The sequence below is a fragment of the Homo sapiens genome, chromosome 12 (assembly GCF_000001405.40).
Source record: "Homo sapiens chromosome 12, GRCh38.p14 Primary Assembly".
Lineage (NCBI taxonomy): Eukaryota > Metazoa > Chordata > Mammalia > Primates > Hominidae > Homo > Homo sapiens.
In genome coordinates, this window is record NC_000012.12 from 10,276,033 (window position 1) to 10,294,082 (window position 18,050).

Below are 18,050 nucleotides of genomic sequence, written 5' to 3' on the forward strand. Positions count from 1 at the left end.
AATGAAACTATACTTTTTTTGCATTGTTTTATTCTGTATTTATTAGAGTTATCTGTGTTGCTGTGGACAGCTGTAGTTTACTTGTGTATGTAATTTCTTTGTATGATATACTCTCAATCAGTTTACTTACTCTACCTTTGATGGACATTTAATTGCTTTCTTTTCAGGACTATTATAAATAATAGTCCTTGGATGTTCTCTGTATTTCTTAAATTATCACCTCACTACACTTGTAATCTATATTTAAAATTATAATATGTTTTCTGTTCTTGTGCTTTGTTTGTTTGGATATTTAGTGACTAGGTCGGTATATGGGTATAAATGTTTATAAATTTCTCTAGGGTAGCCTTTGACATTTTCTGTTTATCACAGCCTTTTAGTATCTTTATCCTTTTGGCCTTTGCTCACTTCCTGTAAGAGAGATGGTTTAAGGGCAGTGATCAAAATTTGAAAATAACAACAAAATATCTTGGTATTGAGAATAAGAAATTTTTCTTTTTCTTTTTTTCTTTTGAATCGGAGTTTCGCTCTTGTTGCCCAGGCTGGAGTGCAATGGCATGATCTCTGCTCACCACAACCTCCCCGTCCCAGGTTCAAGCGATTCTCCTGCCTCAGCCTCCCGAGTAGCTGGGATTACAGGCATGTGCCACCATAAAATTTGACAAAAAAAAAAAAAAAGTAAAATAATGGTCAATTTCCAGTGATAATCAAGGTGAAATTTGAGAGCCTGATATGAATTAGCACCAGGAAGTTTGACCTCTATCCTCAGAATATGCAATCTGGACACAGAAAAAGAGAAGATGAAGTTTCTTTTTAAAAATTTTAATTATTCTTTTCTGCATACTTAGTGACAAGAGATGATGAAATTTAATTTAGCTGCATGCCACAGTTAATTAGGCGTATGTAATGGAAAATAAGAAATAAGTGGAAACAAAATCATTCAGATGACTCACCATTAAGTCTAGTTTTGTGTGGTTAGGGCATGGCAGTAGCAACAAATGAGAAAATAAAAGTCAAGCCTGAAGAAGAAATTAAGCAGAATGAATGAAATAAATACAAAGGCAAATGTTGGCCTCACAGAGTTTTTTTTTTTTTTTTTTTTTTTAGATATTTGATATTCCAAAGGTAGAGGTGGGTTTCTGATCTATCTCAAACATGCAGGGTACATGGAACTGTAGACTCACTGAGACTCACCCATTTAACTGTATCCCCACTACTGATTCTAATTGCATGAAATATTTAGACCTTTAATACATTCACTGAGCTAAGAAAAGCAAGGAGGAAGCGGAAAAGGGAAAAATATAAACAAATGTTATTAACTCCCTATTTGATAGTCATTTTAATTTTTATTATAGGGGAGAACTTAGTCCCTAAATAAATCAATTGCTATTTTGGTTTTGGATAGGTGGTGGTGTTTTTTTACTGAGTTTATTATTATTTTCCCACTTCATGGTGGAAAAGAATGAAGGAGAGTAGAATTTGGAAGCTGAATTTGTGAATTTGGGACTCAGTTCTGCCATTGATTGATTATGTTATGATATGCAAACAGCCTATATAAAAATGATTTTTTTACTTCACTTATTTCTTTTCTAAAATTGTATAAAAATATTTCACAGGTGATTCTGAGAATCACAATTAAAATGTATTTGAATACAATCTTAACTGTGATATACTATTTAGAAATTATAATTTTTATTTATTTTATGATATTACTTCAATTAGTCCCTCTGATTTTTAAAAATTAGTAGACTTTATGTTTTAGAAAAGTTTTAGATTACAGAAAATATTGATCAGTTAGTGCAGACTCAATCAACAGCTTAATTCCAACTGGTCTCATCAGAGAATGTGGACATCTGTATTTTACATGTACATCTGTGATTCCTTTCAGGTTAAATTTTGTGAAAGGTTTAAAGTCTGTGCACTATTTGATCTCTACCAGTGCTGCCTGGATTTATCGTTATTCTGGACATGACAACACAGCGACCATCATAGACTGGCAGAGAGTGAAGGACTGTTTCTTATGCAGAGGCTTCCACTGCATGCCAGACTTGTGGCCCCTGCCTAAGATGATCCTATTGTTTTCTGGAGGAGGAGACCACATTGCACAGGGTATTGCCCCTACTCACTTTTGGCAGATTAACTACAATGGATATTTGACCCTCTCTTGTAGCTGTCCGTTGAGCCTCACTCTGTGTGCGCTTTCCTAGGTGATAGTATTACTATTCCAGTCTTATCAGCCAACTCAAGCCATTCCATTTGACCTGTGAAAATAATCCATGTCAGGTTTTCAGGTTTCCAAGCCATTTACAGTCTGAAAATGGTGCCTGTCTTATCAAAAAAGCCACTTATAAGGCTAATATTTAAAGTATTTGGTGGACTTCCATGCTCCCTACCATCTGTAGGCATCTGGTATTGTTAAGCTTTGGTATGGCCTCCTCAAAATTACACAAAAGCAATTTCTGACTCTACCTTCCTCATCTCTTCTTGGTCCACATATTATGAATTCAAGAACAGTCCCTGAACTAGTGCTGTCTTGATTCCTATTTATTTTCTGACCTATTGCTTAACTTGTGTATGCTATATAAGCTGTGTTTAATGGTAACCATTGATTTAAAAACACTTACTGCTATTTGCAAAGTAAGTCCTTAGTTTTAAATTATATCCTTCCGAAAACTGCCACTTAAGTAAAGTTATTTGCTACTGATTGCTAAGAAAATGTTACTTCTTTTAACATGTAATGCAAATCATGGCTGTTTTTGTTTTGTTTTGTTTTGTTTTTTCCTGTATGAACAACTTTCTTCCCTGGGAGAATTAGATATAGCAAATTTGCACAGAGGCATACTCTTTCTTAAAGGGAATGTTAAATATGATAAATGGCTTCTCAGATATGTATGCTATTTTCATTGTGTTTTACAATTCTTTTTTTTTTTTTTTGTAAAAACATGTTAGCATCAGTTTTTTTTTTTTTTTAATTTTAGGTTTAGGGGGTACCTGTGGAGATTTGCTACATGGGTAAATTGAGTATTCTGGGGATTTGGTTTACAGGTTATTTCATTACCCAGGCAATAAGCATACTACCCAACAGGTAGTTTTTTGATCCTCACCCTCCTTCTACTCTCCACCCTCAAGCAGGTCCTGGTTTCTATTGTTCTCTTCTTTGTGTCCACATGTATTCAATGTTTAGCTCCCACTTATAAGTGAGAACATGCAGTATTTGGTTTTCTGTTTCTGTGTTAGTTTGCTTAGGATAATGTCCTCCAGCTTCATCCATGTTGCTGCAAAAGACATGATCTCATTCTTTTATGTGGCTGTGTCATATGCATGGCTGTTTTAGTCACTTACAGTTTCAGAAAAATGATTTTTAAAATGGTCTAGCTTCCTGTTTCTCTAGTATAAATGCCTGAATGTGTTTTCTGGAAATCTTATTATCAAATCACATTTTATTTTTCTAAGCAGAATGAGTTCAAGATTGTAAAGGATTCTGATTTATATAAATAGGCAGTATGACAGGTATTCAGGGGTTTTCTTTATATGCATGCACTTGCCCATTATTTCTGTTTACAAATTACGTTACCTAAATACATCCAATTGAGACAAAATCTCAAAGAATGCATGTTCAGAACATGATTATAATACTTACATAATCATATGTATAACTTGTATCAAGAATTTTTCCATCCTTATATTATTTCTTATTCTCATTACATCAAAATTTTTCCTGCCTCATGTTATTTCACATTATTATCTGTCTCTACATTCCTCCCTCTTTCCTCTTCCAACAAAAAATCCTTTTATGATTCTGAAGCTAATGTTGTTACCTGTGGTCCTACTTGTCCAAATGATAATGACACTAATGTGATAGTTAATAGTGGTCACCACATCCAGGCTTGCAAATCTCAGTTTTGATTTCCTTCTCCTCTGTTAAGTAAAACCTACTGCTTCTGGGCCAGATACACAGATTTGACTTTCAATATCTCTTGCAGTAGAATTTTATTATTTTTCATCAGAAATGTCTTTCTCCTTTCCCATGACACAAGTTAGAATTACCAACAATCGTTACAATAACATCGGTGGTCTAGGTGCTAAATGTTCTTTCCAGGGCTAGCAACACTGTGGTTGGAAGTGTTCTGTACAGAGGAACGTACAGTGAAATGATGTGTCAGCCACACTTTTTGCACACCTTGAGTGTATTAACCAGATGCCTGATGTTTAAATGAAAAATAATCACTGGATTAAATGCAGGAGAAAAATCTCTTTTCCTTTCTGAAGAAAAAATTCAACATGGGCTAGATCAGAATAGAGATGGACCGCTTCAGAATAAATATTTATTTAATAATTATATGGAAAACATTTAAGTAGCCAATATTCTAGGAAAATATACAGCAGAATACTTAATCAGAACTTTGTTTTTATTTCTTTATTATTAATTGCAAATAGATTTTTTAGCTACCCATAGTCTAGACAATATTGTGTAGGGCAGCAGGATGATGTTCACGCCGTGCTCCATCGTTGAGTATCAGAAGATGCCAAGAGTTCAGGACAGATTCTAGCCATTTCCAGGACCTGAAAATGAGGAAGGAGCTAGAGAATTATATAATTTTTCCACTTTCTCATCCCAGCTTCTCTTCTCCTACCAATGCTTTCCAATGGTTGAAAACAGACAGAAGCCAGAGGGTGAGGAAGACTGTGTGATACAGTTGTCAGAGCTCAGCTGCACAGAATGCAGCAAAAAAGCATGGAGAATGGAGGTGAGGTGTGGTTTGAAAACCAGGTGTTGAGAATCCTGCCCCCAGAAGCCTGTGGTGGTAGAGTTGTGAAAGATCCACTGGGAACCCGTTGCACATCCATATAATAAACTATGTGTGAATGTTTCTTGTAGGTAAAAGGGGTCCAGATGAGAGCAGGGAATAACCTGGACTCATCCTAGATTCTATAGTAGGCTGAATAATGGCTCCAAGTATATCCAGGTCATAATCATTGGAAGCTGTGAATGCTACCTTATAGGGCGAGAGATACTTAGGAGAAGTGAGAAGAGATTGAGGATCTTGAGATTGAAGGATTATTTTGGATTATCAAAGTCAGCTTAAAATGTAACCCCAAGTATCCTTATAAAAGGGATGCAGAGGGAGATTTGAGTACAGAAAAGGAGGAGGCAGTGCAATCATGGGAACAGAAGCTGGAAAGACAAAACCACAAGTGAGGGAACGCTGGCAGACATGAGAAGCTGGATGAGGAGAGGAACAGATTCAGCCCTGCTGTAACCTTGATATTAGCTCCATAAGACTTTTCAGACTCCAACCCTCTAAAACTGTAAGAGAATAATTTTTGTTGTTTTTCTTACTAAATTTGTGCTTGTTTGTTACAGCAGCAATAGTATACTAAGACAGCTGCCATGCATGAAGAGTGATAGGTGGGATATAGCGCTCTAACAGAAAATATGAGACACCTGGTTTGAGGGTGAGGAAGAATCAAAACCACACAACACACAAGTGCAGGTTCATTGCCCATGTCAGGAGTTGTAGTTGCAGGGCTCCGCAGGGATGTATCCAAGAACCCCCTGAGATTCTCTCCCGAGACAAAGAGAGGAATCATCTACACTACCTTTTTCTGTGCTGATTTTCTCATCTGAGTTCAGTTGGAGCCAAAGGAAAAAGAAAAATTTTAGCTTTGCATAAAATTCAAAAATTTTGTTATTATATAGATTTAGGAATTTGAATTCCTGAAATGACACATTCCCGTGACTGAACATGACTAAGAGACGATTATCTGAGAATTACTTACATAATTGGAGACTCCGGGGAAGCAGGTGAAGAGCAAGACTATATATCCAATTTAGAGGGAAATTGAGGGAAACCTTGGTCATAAACTTACACGGCAGTATTTGAATTATTCTAATTGTTTTGGTTACATAAATAGAATTCTGTAGTCTTGAGAAACAATAATTCTCATACAAATGTAGCCTTCTAATCTGAATTCTGTTAAAACTACCAATAACCACTAATCTCTTCTAGTTTTAATCTTCTGGTTTATCATTTTTGTGAATTTGAGAATAAAGTACTCTGATCGTTATATGTCACTCTTCTATTCATTATTTTTATAAAAATATAAATATTTGATTTCTCTAACATTGCCTATAATTTTTTAATGTCAGCATTATATAATAAAATACATTCTCCATAAAGTTACAAATATCAAATAAAAACATATACACATATGTATACATACATTTTTTTTTTTTTTTGAGACTGAGTTTCACTCTTATTGCCCAGGCTGGGGTGTAATGGCATGATCTCGGCTCACCACAACCTCCGCCTCCCGGCTTCAAGTGATTCTCTTGCTTCAGCCTTCCTGAGTAGCTGGGATTACAGGCATGCACTACCATGCCCGGCTAATTTTGTATTTTTAGTAGAGATGGGGTTTCTCCATGTTGGTCAGGCTGATCTCGAACTCCTGACCTCAGATGATCCGCCTGCCTCAGCCTCCCAAAGTGCTGGGATTACAGGTGTGAGCCACCACATCTGGCAAATAAAAATATAATTACTATAAAGTTCATATATAGTATTATGTTTAAAATGGTATGCCACTTTATATTTTGGCTTTAAGTTATTGGTCCTGTGACTGAACTTTGGCTTCTTTCTCTTTTGTAAGAAATATTGTAGAGCATACATAATGATGTGGGTACAAAGTTAGAAGATGTGTTCAAGGAAGGCATTCCAAAGGAGGTGTCATTTGAGTAATGTCAAATGAGCGACGTTTGACGTAGAGAGTCTCTAAAATATTTGAGCAAGGAACTGTTCAAATAGTGGACAGTCTCTACAACCTAAGACTGAATGGTTTGTTTGAGAAGTAGCATTGGGGCTAGATCAGAGGGAGGGACTGAGCAGAAATAGGTAGAAATAAAGACAGAGAAATTGTCAGGGAAACAAGAGTGTAGTAGATATTATTCAAGGTAGGTTGATGTATTCGTGAATGTCCAGGCAGGAAAACAAATTCTGTGCCAAGTCATTACATAGAGGGAAGTTAACAGAGGAGGGTATTTATCAAACAGTTGGAGAAATCTAAGAGTCCGTCAGGAGAAAGAAGACAATTCAGATATGGGCAAAACAGAAAGCTGGTACTATTCCCAGAGCTAGAGGAAACAAGGGAGCAGGTGGGTTTACCAGAACCACTTGATGGGGACTGGCACCACAGTGGCTGGTGCCTGCCACGAGGCAGTTGCTATTTGGCAGCAGTTCAAACAACATAGCATGAGGGAAGGACAAAAACACGATTCCATTTGTATGAGGCATCTAAAATAGTCTAATTCATAGAAGCAAGGAGCAGAATAGTGGTTACCAGGGACAGTGAGGAGCGGAGAGTGGGGATAAGGTTTTAGTAATGCAAAATGAGTAAGCTCTAGAGATCTGCTGTACAACATTGTGCCTAGACTTAACAATATTGTATTGTACATTTCAAAATTTGTTAATAGAGTAGATCTCATGGTGTATTCCTATCACAATAAAATAAATATTAAAATTAAATAAAACAGACCAGTACATAGCATGTGTGGTCACTGCAGGAGATAAAGCCTGAAGCAGAGAGGGGAAAGACAAAATAACAGGCTTCTCCCCTCTTCCTACCTTCCAAATCTCAACCCAGTGGCTCCATTGACTCCACCTACCTGGAAGCTGGTTAGCCATGGAGGTGGTGAAACATGTGTTGCAGGAATCAGCACCCCAAGAAACAAGCAGAACAGGGGAAAACCAGGGAGGACAAAGAGAAAAGTGACTGACAGAGTGGAAGAAACCAAATCTATCAATGCATAGAACCATTATATTTTGGGAGAGATACTTCTCATACTCAATCAAAAGTAAGACTTGTTGGCTGGGCATGGTGGCTCATGCCTGTAATCCCAACACTTTGGGAGGCCGAGGTGGGCGGATCACCTGAGGTCAGGAGTTCAAGACCAGCCTGGCCAACATGGTGAAATCTCATCTCTATTAAAAATACAAAAAAAAAAAAAAAAATAGCTGGGCATGGTGGTGGGCGCTTGTAATCCCAGCTACTCAGGAGGCTGAGGCAGGAGAATCACCTGAACTGGGAGGTGGAGGTTGCAGTGAGCCCAGATCGCACCAGTGCACTCCAGCCTGGGTGACAAGAGTAAAACTCTCTCTCAAAAAACAACAGTAACAACAACAACAACAACAACAAAAGACTTGTTAACACAATATTCTGTGAAGAGATTCAACTTACCTTGTCCAATCTATACATAGGTTTACTATAACATGTGTGTAAAATCACTCAGATAAATTATCAGTATGAAACCACATGTGGAGGGGCTCAGTAAGTGGGGAATAGGTGTTTTGAACAAAGAATTGAGTATAATTTAATCCACATACTGACACAGGAGATAAGTCCCCAGTTCTTTATCCATAAGGCTAAAAACCAAATCTCTGTAAACAAAATGTTTTCATTAGTTTGGTTCCAAAACCTGAACTTAGCTAATCATAGTTTTTGTTTTATACATTTTGCTGTGGAAATATTAATGTGCTGGGTTATAGCGTGAATCATCAAATGCCAATGAGGCTGTTAATTCATGTATGTATAAACACATATATTTTAAAATAAAAACTAATAAATTTTAAAGTACATTTCTCTCCACAAATTTCAGATAAGAAATTAGGGTCTCTGGGCCAGGCACAGTGGCTCACACCTGTAATCCCAGCACTTTGGGAGGCCAAGGCGGGCAGATCACCTGAGGTCAGAAGTTCGAGACCAGCCTCAACGTGGAGAAATCCCGTCTCTACTAAAAATACAAAATTAGCCGGGCATGGTGGTGCATGCCTGTAATCCCAGCTACTCAGGAGGCTGAGGCAGGAGAATTGCTTGAACCTGGGAGGCGGAGGTTGCGGTGAGCCCAGATCGTGCCATTGCACTCCAGCCTGGGCAACAAGAGCGAAACTCCATCTCAAAAAAAAAAGAAATTAGGGTCTCTGTATCCTACACATCATTTAGTTTCCACTTAAAAGTTTTTAGATGTATGGTGAGAGAACTATATATAAAAGAACAATCTATGCCCTATTCCTGTGAGATTTCTCTTCATTATCTGGCTCTACTGATGTTGCCAGTGTACCATGCTAGCAATGTTGCATATTAACCTGGAGTAAAATATCATTTCTGTATTTTCAAAATTCTTTACTACTATTTATAAAATAAATTCTTACCTTTAGATTGTGTTGTTGCTAAAATTGAAATTTAAGTAGAGAGTCGTGTGACTGATAAAAATGGGTTCCTTCTTTTAAAAACAGTCTGTAAAACCACAGCCAGTCAAGTCACGTTTATTCTAGAAATTATTTTTGCCATATGCTAGTTTTCTTTTCCTCTCATGTGAACCATCTTTATGTCTAGTCTGAAAAATTCCTGTTACAGTCACCATTCTGTCATGATAAGGGTTCTGAAATAACTCAGGGACAAACCATTCCTTTCTTTAAGCTTCCAATATGAAATAAGTCCTTTGTGTATCAATAGTCACCAGGATAATTTTTCACATGGTTTTATTTAACATCTTTCTTCATGGTACCTTAAAGTTGTTTTTTTTGTGTGTCTTTACCTGCCCATTATTTCCACCTACAAAACACGCTATCTCTAAGCACATTATCCGAAGAAAATTCCAGTTAAAAATCATCTCATAGAAAATATGACTAGTATTTACAGTCCAGTCAATGCTTTATGATTCTTATGTTATTTTTTCTTTGTGATTGACTCTTTCCTATTCCCTCCTCTTCTCTTAACAGGTAAATATTGTCACAGCTCTAAGTTTAGTAATGTTTCCTATGTTTACACTTGCTGGAATAACAAAAATAGCGCAGCTACAGTGCTAGTGATCAGCCACATCCATGCTTGTAAACCTCAGTTCTGGTCTCTTCTCTCCTCCTTAAGCTGTGTCTTCTGCTTTTTGCCCAGGTAAATTGCTTCAACTCCCAATATTGTTTGCAACAGCATCTTACTGTTTTCGCCAGACACGCCATTTCCTCTACCCATTACCCATCCACTTTATCCCCAACATCCTGCGGCCACACCAAGACCAGTGTAGGTGTTAACTGTTATTTTAGGCAGCAGCAACTCTGTGGTTGGAAACATTCTGTACCATACGGTGTGATGTGTCAGCCACACCTGTTACACATAAAGTGTACTGATGACTGAGGTCTCACAGGGGTCCAGGGTCATATCAGAGTCCGGAGATTTCCGTGAAAGCTTAAAGTTCAGTCTGCAAACTCACTGTAACTAATAATGAATAGCTTATGTCCTATCTACCTCAATATGTTTCTTAATGGTTTTGAGCACTAATTAGGTGTTAAATACCCTATATGTTTATACATTAAACCATTCTCAGAACATATTTCCAATAAACTATTTAGTTGCATTTTACGTTTTACACATGATGGAAAAGAATCTTAAAGGGGTTATGTAACCTACTCAAGTTTACGATCTACCAAAAGCAGAATCAAACATTTGAAACTACTCACTTTTGACATCTTGTATTTAGCAGATTGAAGAAGCAGAAAGAATAATTACCTGATAAGGATTGATTAGAAATTAGTTTTGAATGCAAAATAGTCTTTGAATCATCATTTTATTTCGCTTATGGTGCTTTTTTTTTTTTTTTTTTTTTTTTTTTATAGAGACGGGATCTCACTTTGTTGCCCAGGCTGGTCCCAAACTCCTGAGATCAAGTCATGCTCCCATCTTGGCCTCCCAAAGTGTTGGAATTACAGGCATGAGCCACCGCATCTGGTCCCGTAACTGTTTACATTCAGTTTTGTTCTTATAAAGAACCTCACTGGGCACCAGGTGCAGTGGCTCACACCTGTAATCCCAGCACTCTGGGAGGCGAGGCAGGGGGATCACCTGAGGTCATGAGTTCGAGACCAGCCTGGCCAATGTGGCAAAACCCCATTTCTACTAAGAATACAACAATTAGACGGGCGTGGTGGTGCGCCTGTAGTCCCAGCTACTCAGGAGGCTGAGGCAGGAGAATCGCTTGAACCCGGGAGGCAGAGGTTGCAGTGAGCTGAGATTGTACCACTGCACTCCAGCCTGGGTGACAGAGTGAGACTCTGTCTCAAAACAAAAACAAAACCCTCTTTTTTTTTATTGTTTATCTGTTTGTGTTTTTTTGATGATTAAAAACCGTGGTGAAACTGTACCTAAAAGCAAAGATGGATATGCATTGTAAGGCACAGGTTTGAAGTTAGACAGCCATGGGAGAATGCAAGGGTATGTATGAGATTGGTATAGTCAATAAGTATTTGCTGGTATTTGTTTCATACACAAATACATGCATATATACAAATAACTCCGAATTTTTTTTTATTTAACACTCAGACCTCTCACAGATAGGTTGCAAAAAAATGTTATACAAATAATGAGAGCATTTCCTCCCATGAAACCTAACTTCAAACAAATCCAAATAAATTCTAAGTTTTAAAAAAGACCATCCATTTTGGTGCCAACATCCTTTTCAAGTGAATTATTTATATACTGAAGTATTATAAAACCTATAAATAGATATTGTTATATATAAACAGATACTTTTACGAATTAAATTATGCTTCTTAGAAGACAGAAGCATGAAATGGAGAAACGAGGAAATAAAATATGTAACTAAAAATTTGCTAGGACTTTAAAAACCACCCCTAGGTTATACAAAACTACGGGGATAACTTAGTTTAATTATCTGTCTAAATACGGATTTTTACCTCTGTAAGAAAGATCAGGCCAGGCGCAGTGGCTCATGCCTGTAATCCCAGCACTTTGGGAGGCCGAGGCAGGCGGATCATGAGGTCAGGAGATCGAGACCATTCTGGCTAACATGGTGAAACCCTGTCTCTACTAAAATACAAAAAATTAGCCGGGCGTGGTGGCGGGCGCCTGTAGTCCCAGCTACTCAGGAGGCTGAGGCAGGAGAATGGCGTGAACCTGGGAGGCAGAGCTTGCAGTGAGCCGAGATCGCACCACTGCACTCCAGTCTGGGCGACAGAGCGAGACTCTGTCTCAAAAAAAAAAAAAAAAAGTACAAAAATTAGCCAGGCATGGTGGTGCGTGCCTGTAATCCCAGCTACTCAGGAGGCTGATGGAGGAGAATCGCTGGAACCCAGGAGGTGGAGGTTACAGTGAGCCGATATTGCGCCACTGCACTCCAGTCTGGACAACAGAGCGAGACTCCGTCTCAAAAAAAAAAAAAAAGAAAGATCAGTCAGTACATAGTCAAGTACGTGTGCATGCATATATATGCATATGTATACATTATGTAAATATGTTGTAATTATTATATAATAAACCTACATTCAATATATCTGTGGCAATTTATCTATCTAAATTTGAACAAAAACTAAAAATTCCCAGCACAATCGAGGCAAAATAAAATATAATTTTCTTACAGTTATGCAAAATGACTCTCTAGATTTTAATCCGTTAGAGGTAGAGGTAGACAAAGGTTAGTGAGACTCAGCTTGACCACTGCTTGGTTGACTTTGAGCGTGTTTCCTTGATAATCTCCTGTGTCTTCAACTATGAAATTTAAGAACTATTACTATCAATATCATAGGGTTTATGAAGATTAGATGAAGTAAAAGTTATAAAATAATCAAACACAGAGCCTGGCATAAAGTAAACTCAAAAATTTTTAATGGTTTTATACATAATCATTAAATATCAATTATAGACTACATACATCACTATGAAAGAATTAGAGGTAAATTATAAAATATTAGCAATAATCCTTTATAAGACTCTTTTTTTAAGATTTACTTCAGGCTACTGGAACTTGAGAATGTATAAAGTGTTTAATGCGTACCAAATGAGTGTCTAGTCACAAAATGTTAGAAGGTGAGTTGGTTAGTCTGATAGAGTTTTACTGATCTGATTCTTCATCTCCTGTTTGAGTATTTATGTGTCTTATTATTCTGAGTTAGGGCATCCTTTTACCTCCTGTGTCTCTTTTTCTTTATGCCCAAGTTCCATCGGCAGATACTGACCATAGAGCTTTGCAATGTAGACAGTTTTGCCTAAAGGCTAAGACAGGGGCTCAGTTCCACTTCACTGACACTTAGTGACATTACGCGGGCTTTGGAATTTAGGAAGTGACCAATATGTTGACTTTGGTTTGTTATTTCAGAATGAGAACCCTAAAGGCCACCCAACAGTTCACCACAGAGAAACTTGTTTCCAGCCACATAGGAGTTGACAAGCTGCAGCTGCAGCTGAGCTCTTTGCAGCTCTTTCATGAGGTTCTTACACCTTGCTAGGTCCTATATAAAGGACTAACCTATTATTTAGAAAAGATACACATTAAGGACTCTAATTAAGAAATTTTGAAACGAGTTATGTTTTCTCCATTCTGGCTTCATAAACTTCTTTCTATGCTAAACAATCAGGGAAACTGTCAATGTTTTATTCAAAATGTATGTTGCTAATTCTGTGACCACTATTTGCACACTTCTTTTACTACATAAACATGTCACTTTGTAAATAGCTACTGGGCAGTGTAGATTTACTTATATGCATAACTTGAACATTATTTTGTTTCTTTCGGAGTCTGCCTATTCCCGAACCACATGTGGAATTGGTAGTTGCTTTGGTTTGGTTTGTTTATTTGCTTATTTCTTTTAGTGGGAAGCAGTTTTCTGGATTCTTTTAACTTGATACAGATGCAAAAAGGGGAAATGTTTGTGTAATGTATCTGGTCCATATCCATAATTGAATTTGTAATTTTTTTTGTGTGTGTGACAGAGTTTCATTCTTGTTGCCCAGGCTGGAGTGCAGTGGTGCAGTCTTGGCTCACTGCAACCTCCGCCTCCCAGGTTCAAGCGATTCTCCTGCCTCAGCCTCCCGAGTAGCTGGGATTACAGGCATGCACCACCACACCCAGCTAGTTTTGTATTTTTAGTAGAGATGGGGTTTCTCCATGCTTGTCAGGCTGGTCTTGAACTCCCGACTCAGGTGATCCGCCCACCTCGGCCTCCCAAAGTGCTGGGATTACAGGCGTGAGCCACCCCATCCAGCTGAATTTGTAATTTTTAGTTAAAATTGAAACTGTAAAATGATACCATATTTGTAAGAACAACAACAAGGCAGTTTCCAACGCCCAAAATATAACTGCAAAGGCATTGGACAACGTAAATTAAAATGGTATGTTGAATAAGAACTGAAAGTCAACATAGCAAACATCTACCATGGCAAATATTTCCTTACTTGGATTGTAGCTACGAAATGGTCATCTCTACTCCTTGGGAAAGGCCAGAGCAAGACCTATAAAGTCCACTCTTAGAAAAGTTCCATGGATAGAATGACCAATAGGAAGCTGGCTATTTAATTTAAAATGATGTTAGGATCTTTAACTCTAGGAATAATCAGAGGTAGAAGGAATTTAGAATAATCAGAGGTAGAAAGAATTTAAAATGATTTCATATTGCTAGGTAAATCTGTGTGATCTTATTTATATTAAAGAAAGCATTGGACATAATAGAATGCCTGATACATGCACGCACAAACACACACACATTGAAATGAGACATACATGTCAAGCACTAGAATTGGCGTGTAATGTGTGCTCAATAAATGTTCACAACTCTCCCCTAATAAACAAACTTATTAAAATGAAAATTGGTAAATAAAGGAAAAGTTTCAGTATTTATCTTTAATAACCATGCTGCAGAGTAACAAAATAATTGGTGGCAAGTATTTTCTGGAATATAAAATCAGAGGTTATGTGATGATGGTTACATGAATTTACACATGATAAAACTGCATAAAATGACATATATATATATACACAAATACACACAAGCAAATGAATGGATATATAAAACTACTAAAATCTGAATAAGGTCTATGGATTGTACCAATGTCAATTTCCTGGTTTTGACATTGTACTCTAGTTATGTAAAATATAGGCATACCTCAGAGATACTGTGCACTCTGATCCAGACAACCACAAAAAAGCAATTATTGCAATAAAGCAAGTCACATGAATTTTTTTTGTTTCCCAATGCATGTAAATGTTTACACTGTACTGCAGTCTATTAAGTGTTCAAAATTATTATATCTAAAAAACAATGTACATACCTTGATTAAAAATATTGCCAGAAAATGTTAACAATCAGCTGAGCTTTCAGAGAGTCCTAGTCTGTTTCTGTTTCTGGTGGATCTTGCCTCATTGATGGCTGCTGACTGATCAGGGTGGTGGTTGTTGAAGGCTGGGGTGACAGTGGCAATTTCTAAAAATAAGACAACAATGAAGTTTGCTGCATTGACTGACTCTTCTTTTCACAAAAGATTTCTCTGTAGTCTATGATGCTGTTTCATTGCATTTTACCCACAGTAGAACTTTCAAAATTGGAATCAATCCTTTCAGACCCTGCCACTGCTTTATCAACTACATTTTTTGTAATATTCTAAATTCTTTGTTGTCATTTCAACAATGTTCACAACATCTTCACCAGGAGTAGATTCCATCCCAAGAAATGTCTCTTTCCTCATCTATAAAAAGCAGTTCCTCACCCATGAAAGCTCTGTCACAAGATTGCATCAATTCAGCCACATCTTTTTTTTTTTTTTTTAATCCTATACTATTTTAAGTTCCAGGATACACAAGCAGAACGTGCAGGTTTGTTACATAGGTATACATGTGCCATGGTGGTTTGCTACACCTATCAACCCATCGTCTAGGTTTTAAGCCCTACATGCATTAGGTATTTGTCCTAATGCTCTCCTTCCCCTTGCCCCCCACCTTCTGATAGGCTGCGGTATGTGTTGTTCCCCTCCCTGTGTCCATGTGTTCTCACTCTTCCACTCCCACTTGTGAGTGAGAACATGTGGTGTTTGGTTTTCTGTTCCTGTATTAGTTTGCTAAGGATGATGGCTTCCAGCTTCATCCATGTCCCTGCAAAGGACATAATCTCATTCTTTTTTATGGCTGCGTAGAATTCCATGGTGTATATGTACCACATTTTCTTTATTCAGTCTATCATTGATGGGCATTTGGGTTGGTTCCATGTCTTTGCGATTGTAAATAGTGAATGCGGCCACATCTTCAGGCTTCACTTCTCATTCTAGTTCCCTTGCTATTTCTACTACCTCTGCAGTTACTTTCTCCACTGAAGTCTCGAACACCTCAAAGTCATCCATGAGGATTGGAATCAACTTCTTCTAAACTCTTGTTAATGCTATATTTGACCTCCTCCCATGAACCACAAGTGTTCTTAAATGGAATCTAGAATAGTGAAGCCTTTCAGAAAGTTTTGAATTTACATTGCCCAGTTTCATCTGAGGAATCACTATTTATTTAATAAATACAAAATGTATATCTTAAATAATATGACTTAAAAGTTGAAATGACTCCTTGATTCACGGACTGCCGAATGGATATTGTGTTAGCAGGCTTGAAAATGACATGAATTTCTTTGTACGTCTTCATCAGAGCTCTTGGGTGACCAGGCTCATTCTCAATGAGCCATAACATTTTTAAAGAAATCTTTTTTTCTGAGCACTATGTCTCAACAATGGGCTTAAAATATGTAGCAAACCATGTTGTAAACAGACATGCTGCCATCTGGACTTTGTTGCTCTATATAGAGAGCACAGGTAGAGTAGACTGAGCATAATTCTTAAGGGTCCTAAATTGTTTGGAATGGTAAATGAGCATTGGCTTCAACTTAAGTCACCAGTTAGCCCCTAACAAGAGAGCCAGCCTGTCCTTTGAAGCTTTGAAGCAAGACACTGACTTTTCCTCTCTAGTTATAAAAGTCCTAGATGGCTTTTCCAGAAGCCTGTTTCATGTACACTCAAAATCTGTTGTTTAGTGTAGCCACCTTTATCAATTATCTTAGTTAGATCTTCTGGATAACTTGCTGTAGCTTCTTCATCAGCACTTACTGCTTCACCTTGTACATTTCTATTATTTAGATGGCTTCTTTCTTTAAATCTCAAGAAGCAACCTCTGCTAGTTTCCAATTTTTTTTTTTTCTGCAGCTTTCTCACCTCTCACAGCCTTCATAGAATTGAAGAGTTAGCGCCTTAGGCTTTGGCTTAAAGGAACATTGTGTGGCTGGTTTGATCTTTGATACAGACCAGTAAAACTTTCTCCATATATATATACACATATACACATAATTCGCATGCTCACTGGCATAGCAATTTTGATTTTCTTCAAGTACTCTTTCTTTGCATTCACCATTTGGCTAAATGTTTGACTCAACAGGCCTTTCGGCCTATGTGGGCTTTCAAAATGCCTTCCTCACTAAGCTTATTCATTTCTGGCTTTTGATTTAAAGTAAGAGATGTGTGACTCTTCCTTTCACTTTTACTCTTAGAGGTCATTGTAATGTTATTAACTGGCCTAATTTCAGTGTTGTTGTGTTTCAGGGAATTGGGAGGCCTAAGGAAAGGTAGAGAGATGGACAATCGCTGGCCAGTGAAGCCGTCATAACACTTACATTCATCAATTAATTTCATTATGTTATATGGGCATTGTTTGTTGCACCACAAACCCATTTCAACAGTAACATCAAACATCACTGATCACAGATCACCATAAAAGATATTGCAATAATAGTAAAAAAGTTTTAAATATTGCAAGAATTACCAAGATGTGAGGCAGAGACAGGAAGTGAGCACATGCTTTAAAAAAAAAATGGCACTGATAGACTTGCTAGAGGTAGGGTTGCCACAAAACCTCAATTTGTAAAAAATGCCACACCTGTGAAGCACAATAAAGTGAAGTGCAGTAAAATGAGGTGTGTGTGTATTATCACTGGGGAAACCCAACAGCAGGGACAAGGGAGGTCCCTAAGCTATTTTTGTAACTTTTTTTGTTAATCTATATTCATTTGAAAATAAAAACTGAAAAAAAATCTCAGGGGTTAACAGGCAGTATTTTTATTCCCTTGGTATGAACGCTAGCTATCCTCACTTTCCTTTTCTTCTTATGTCTCAGCCACATTGTTGATTCTGCCTCTCCTACTTAATAAATGGTCGCTGTACATCAAAGATGGTAAATTCAGAGATGGTGG

At 37.5% G+C, this 18,050-nt stretch overlaps 1 protein-coding gene and 1 long non-coding RNA gene across 2 annotated transcripts in view; one reads left to right on the forward strand and one right to left on the reverse strand.

Moving 5' to 3' along the window:
* KLRD1 (killer cell lectin like receptor D1) overlaps positions 1 to 18,050 on the forward strand; it is a 90,648-nt gene that overhangs the window by 37,072 nt on the left and 35,526 nt on the right. The gene's annotated exons all lie outside the window — the stretch shown is intronic.
* LOC105369656 (uncharacterized) lies at positions 4,403 to 15,212 on the reverse strand. The gene is made up of 2 exons (XR_931353.3): positions 15,106 to 15,212; positions 4,403 to 4,563 (listed from the first exon to the last, which is right to left on the reverse strand). It is a non-coding gene; the product is annotated as an uncharacterized LOC105369656 (long non-coding RNA).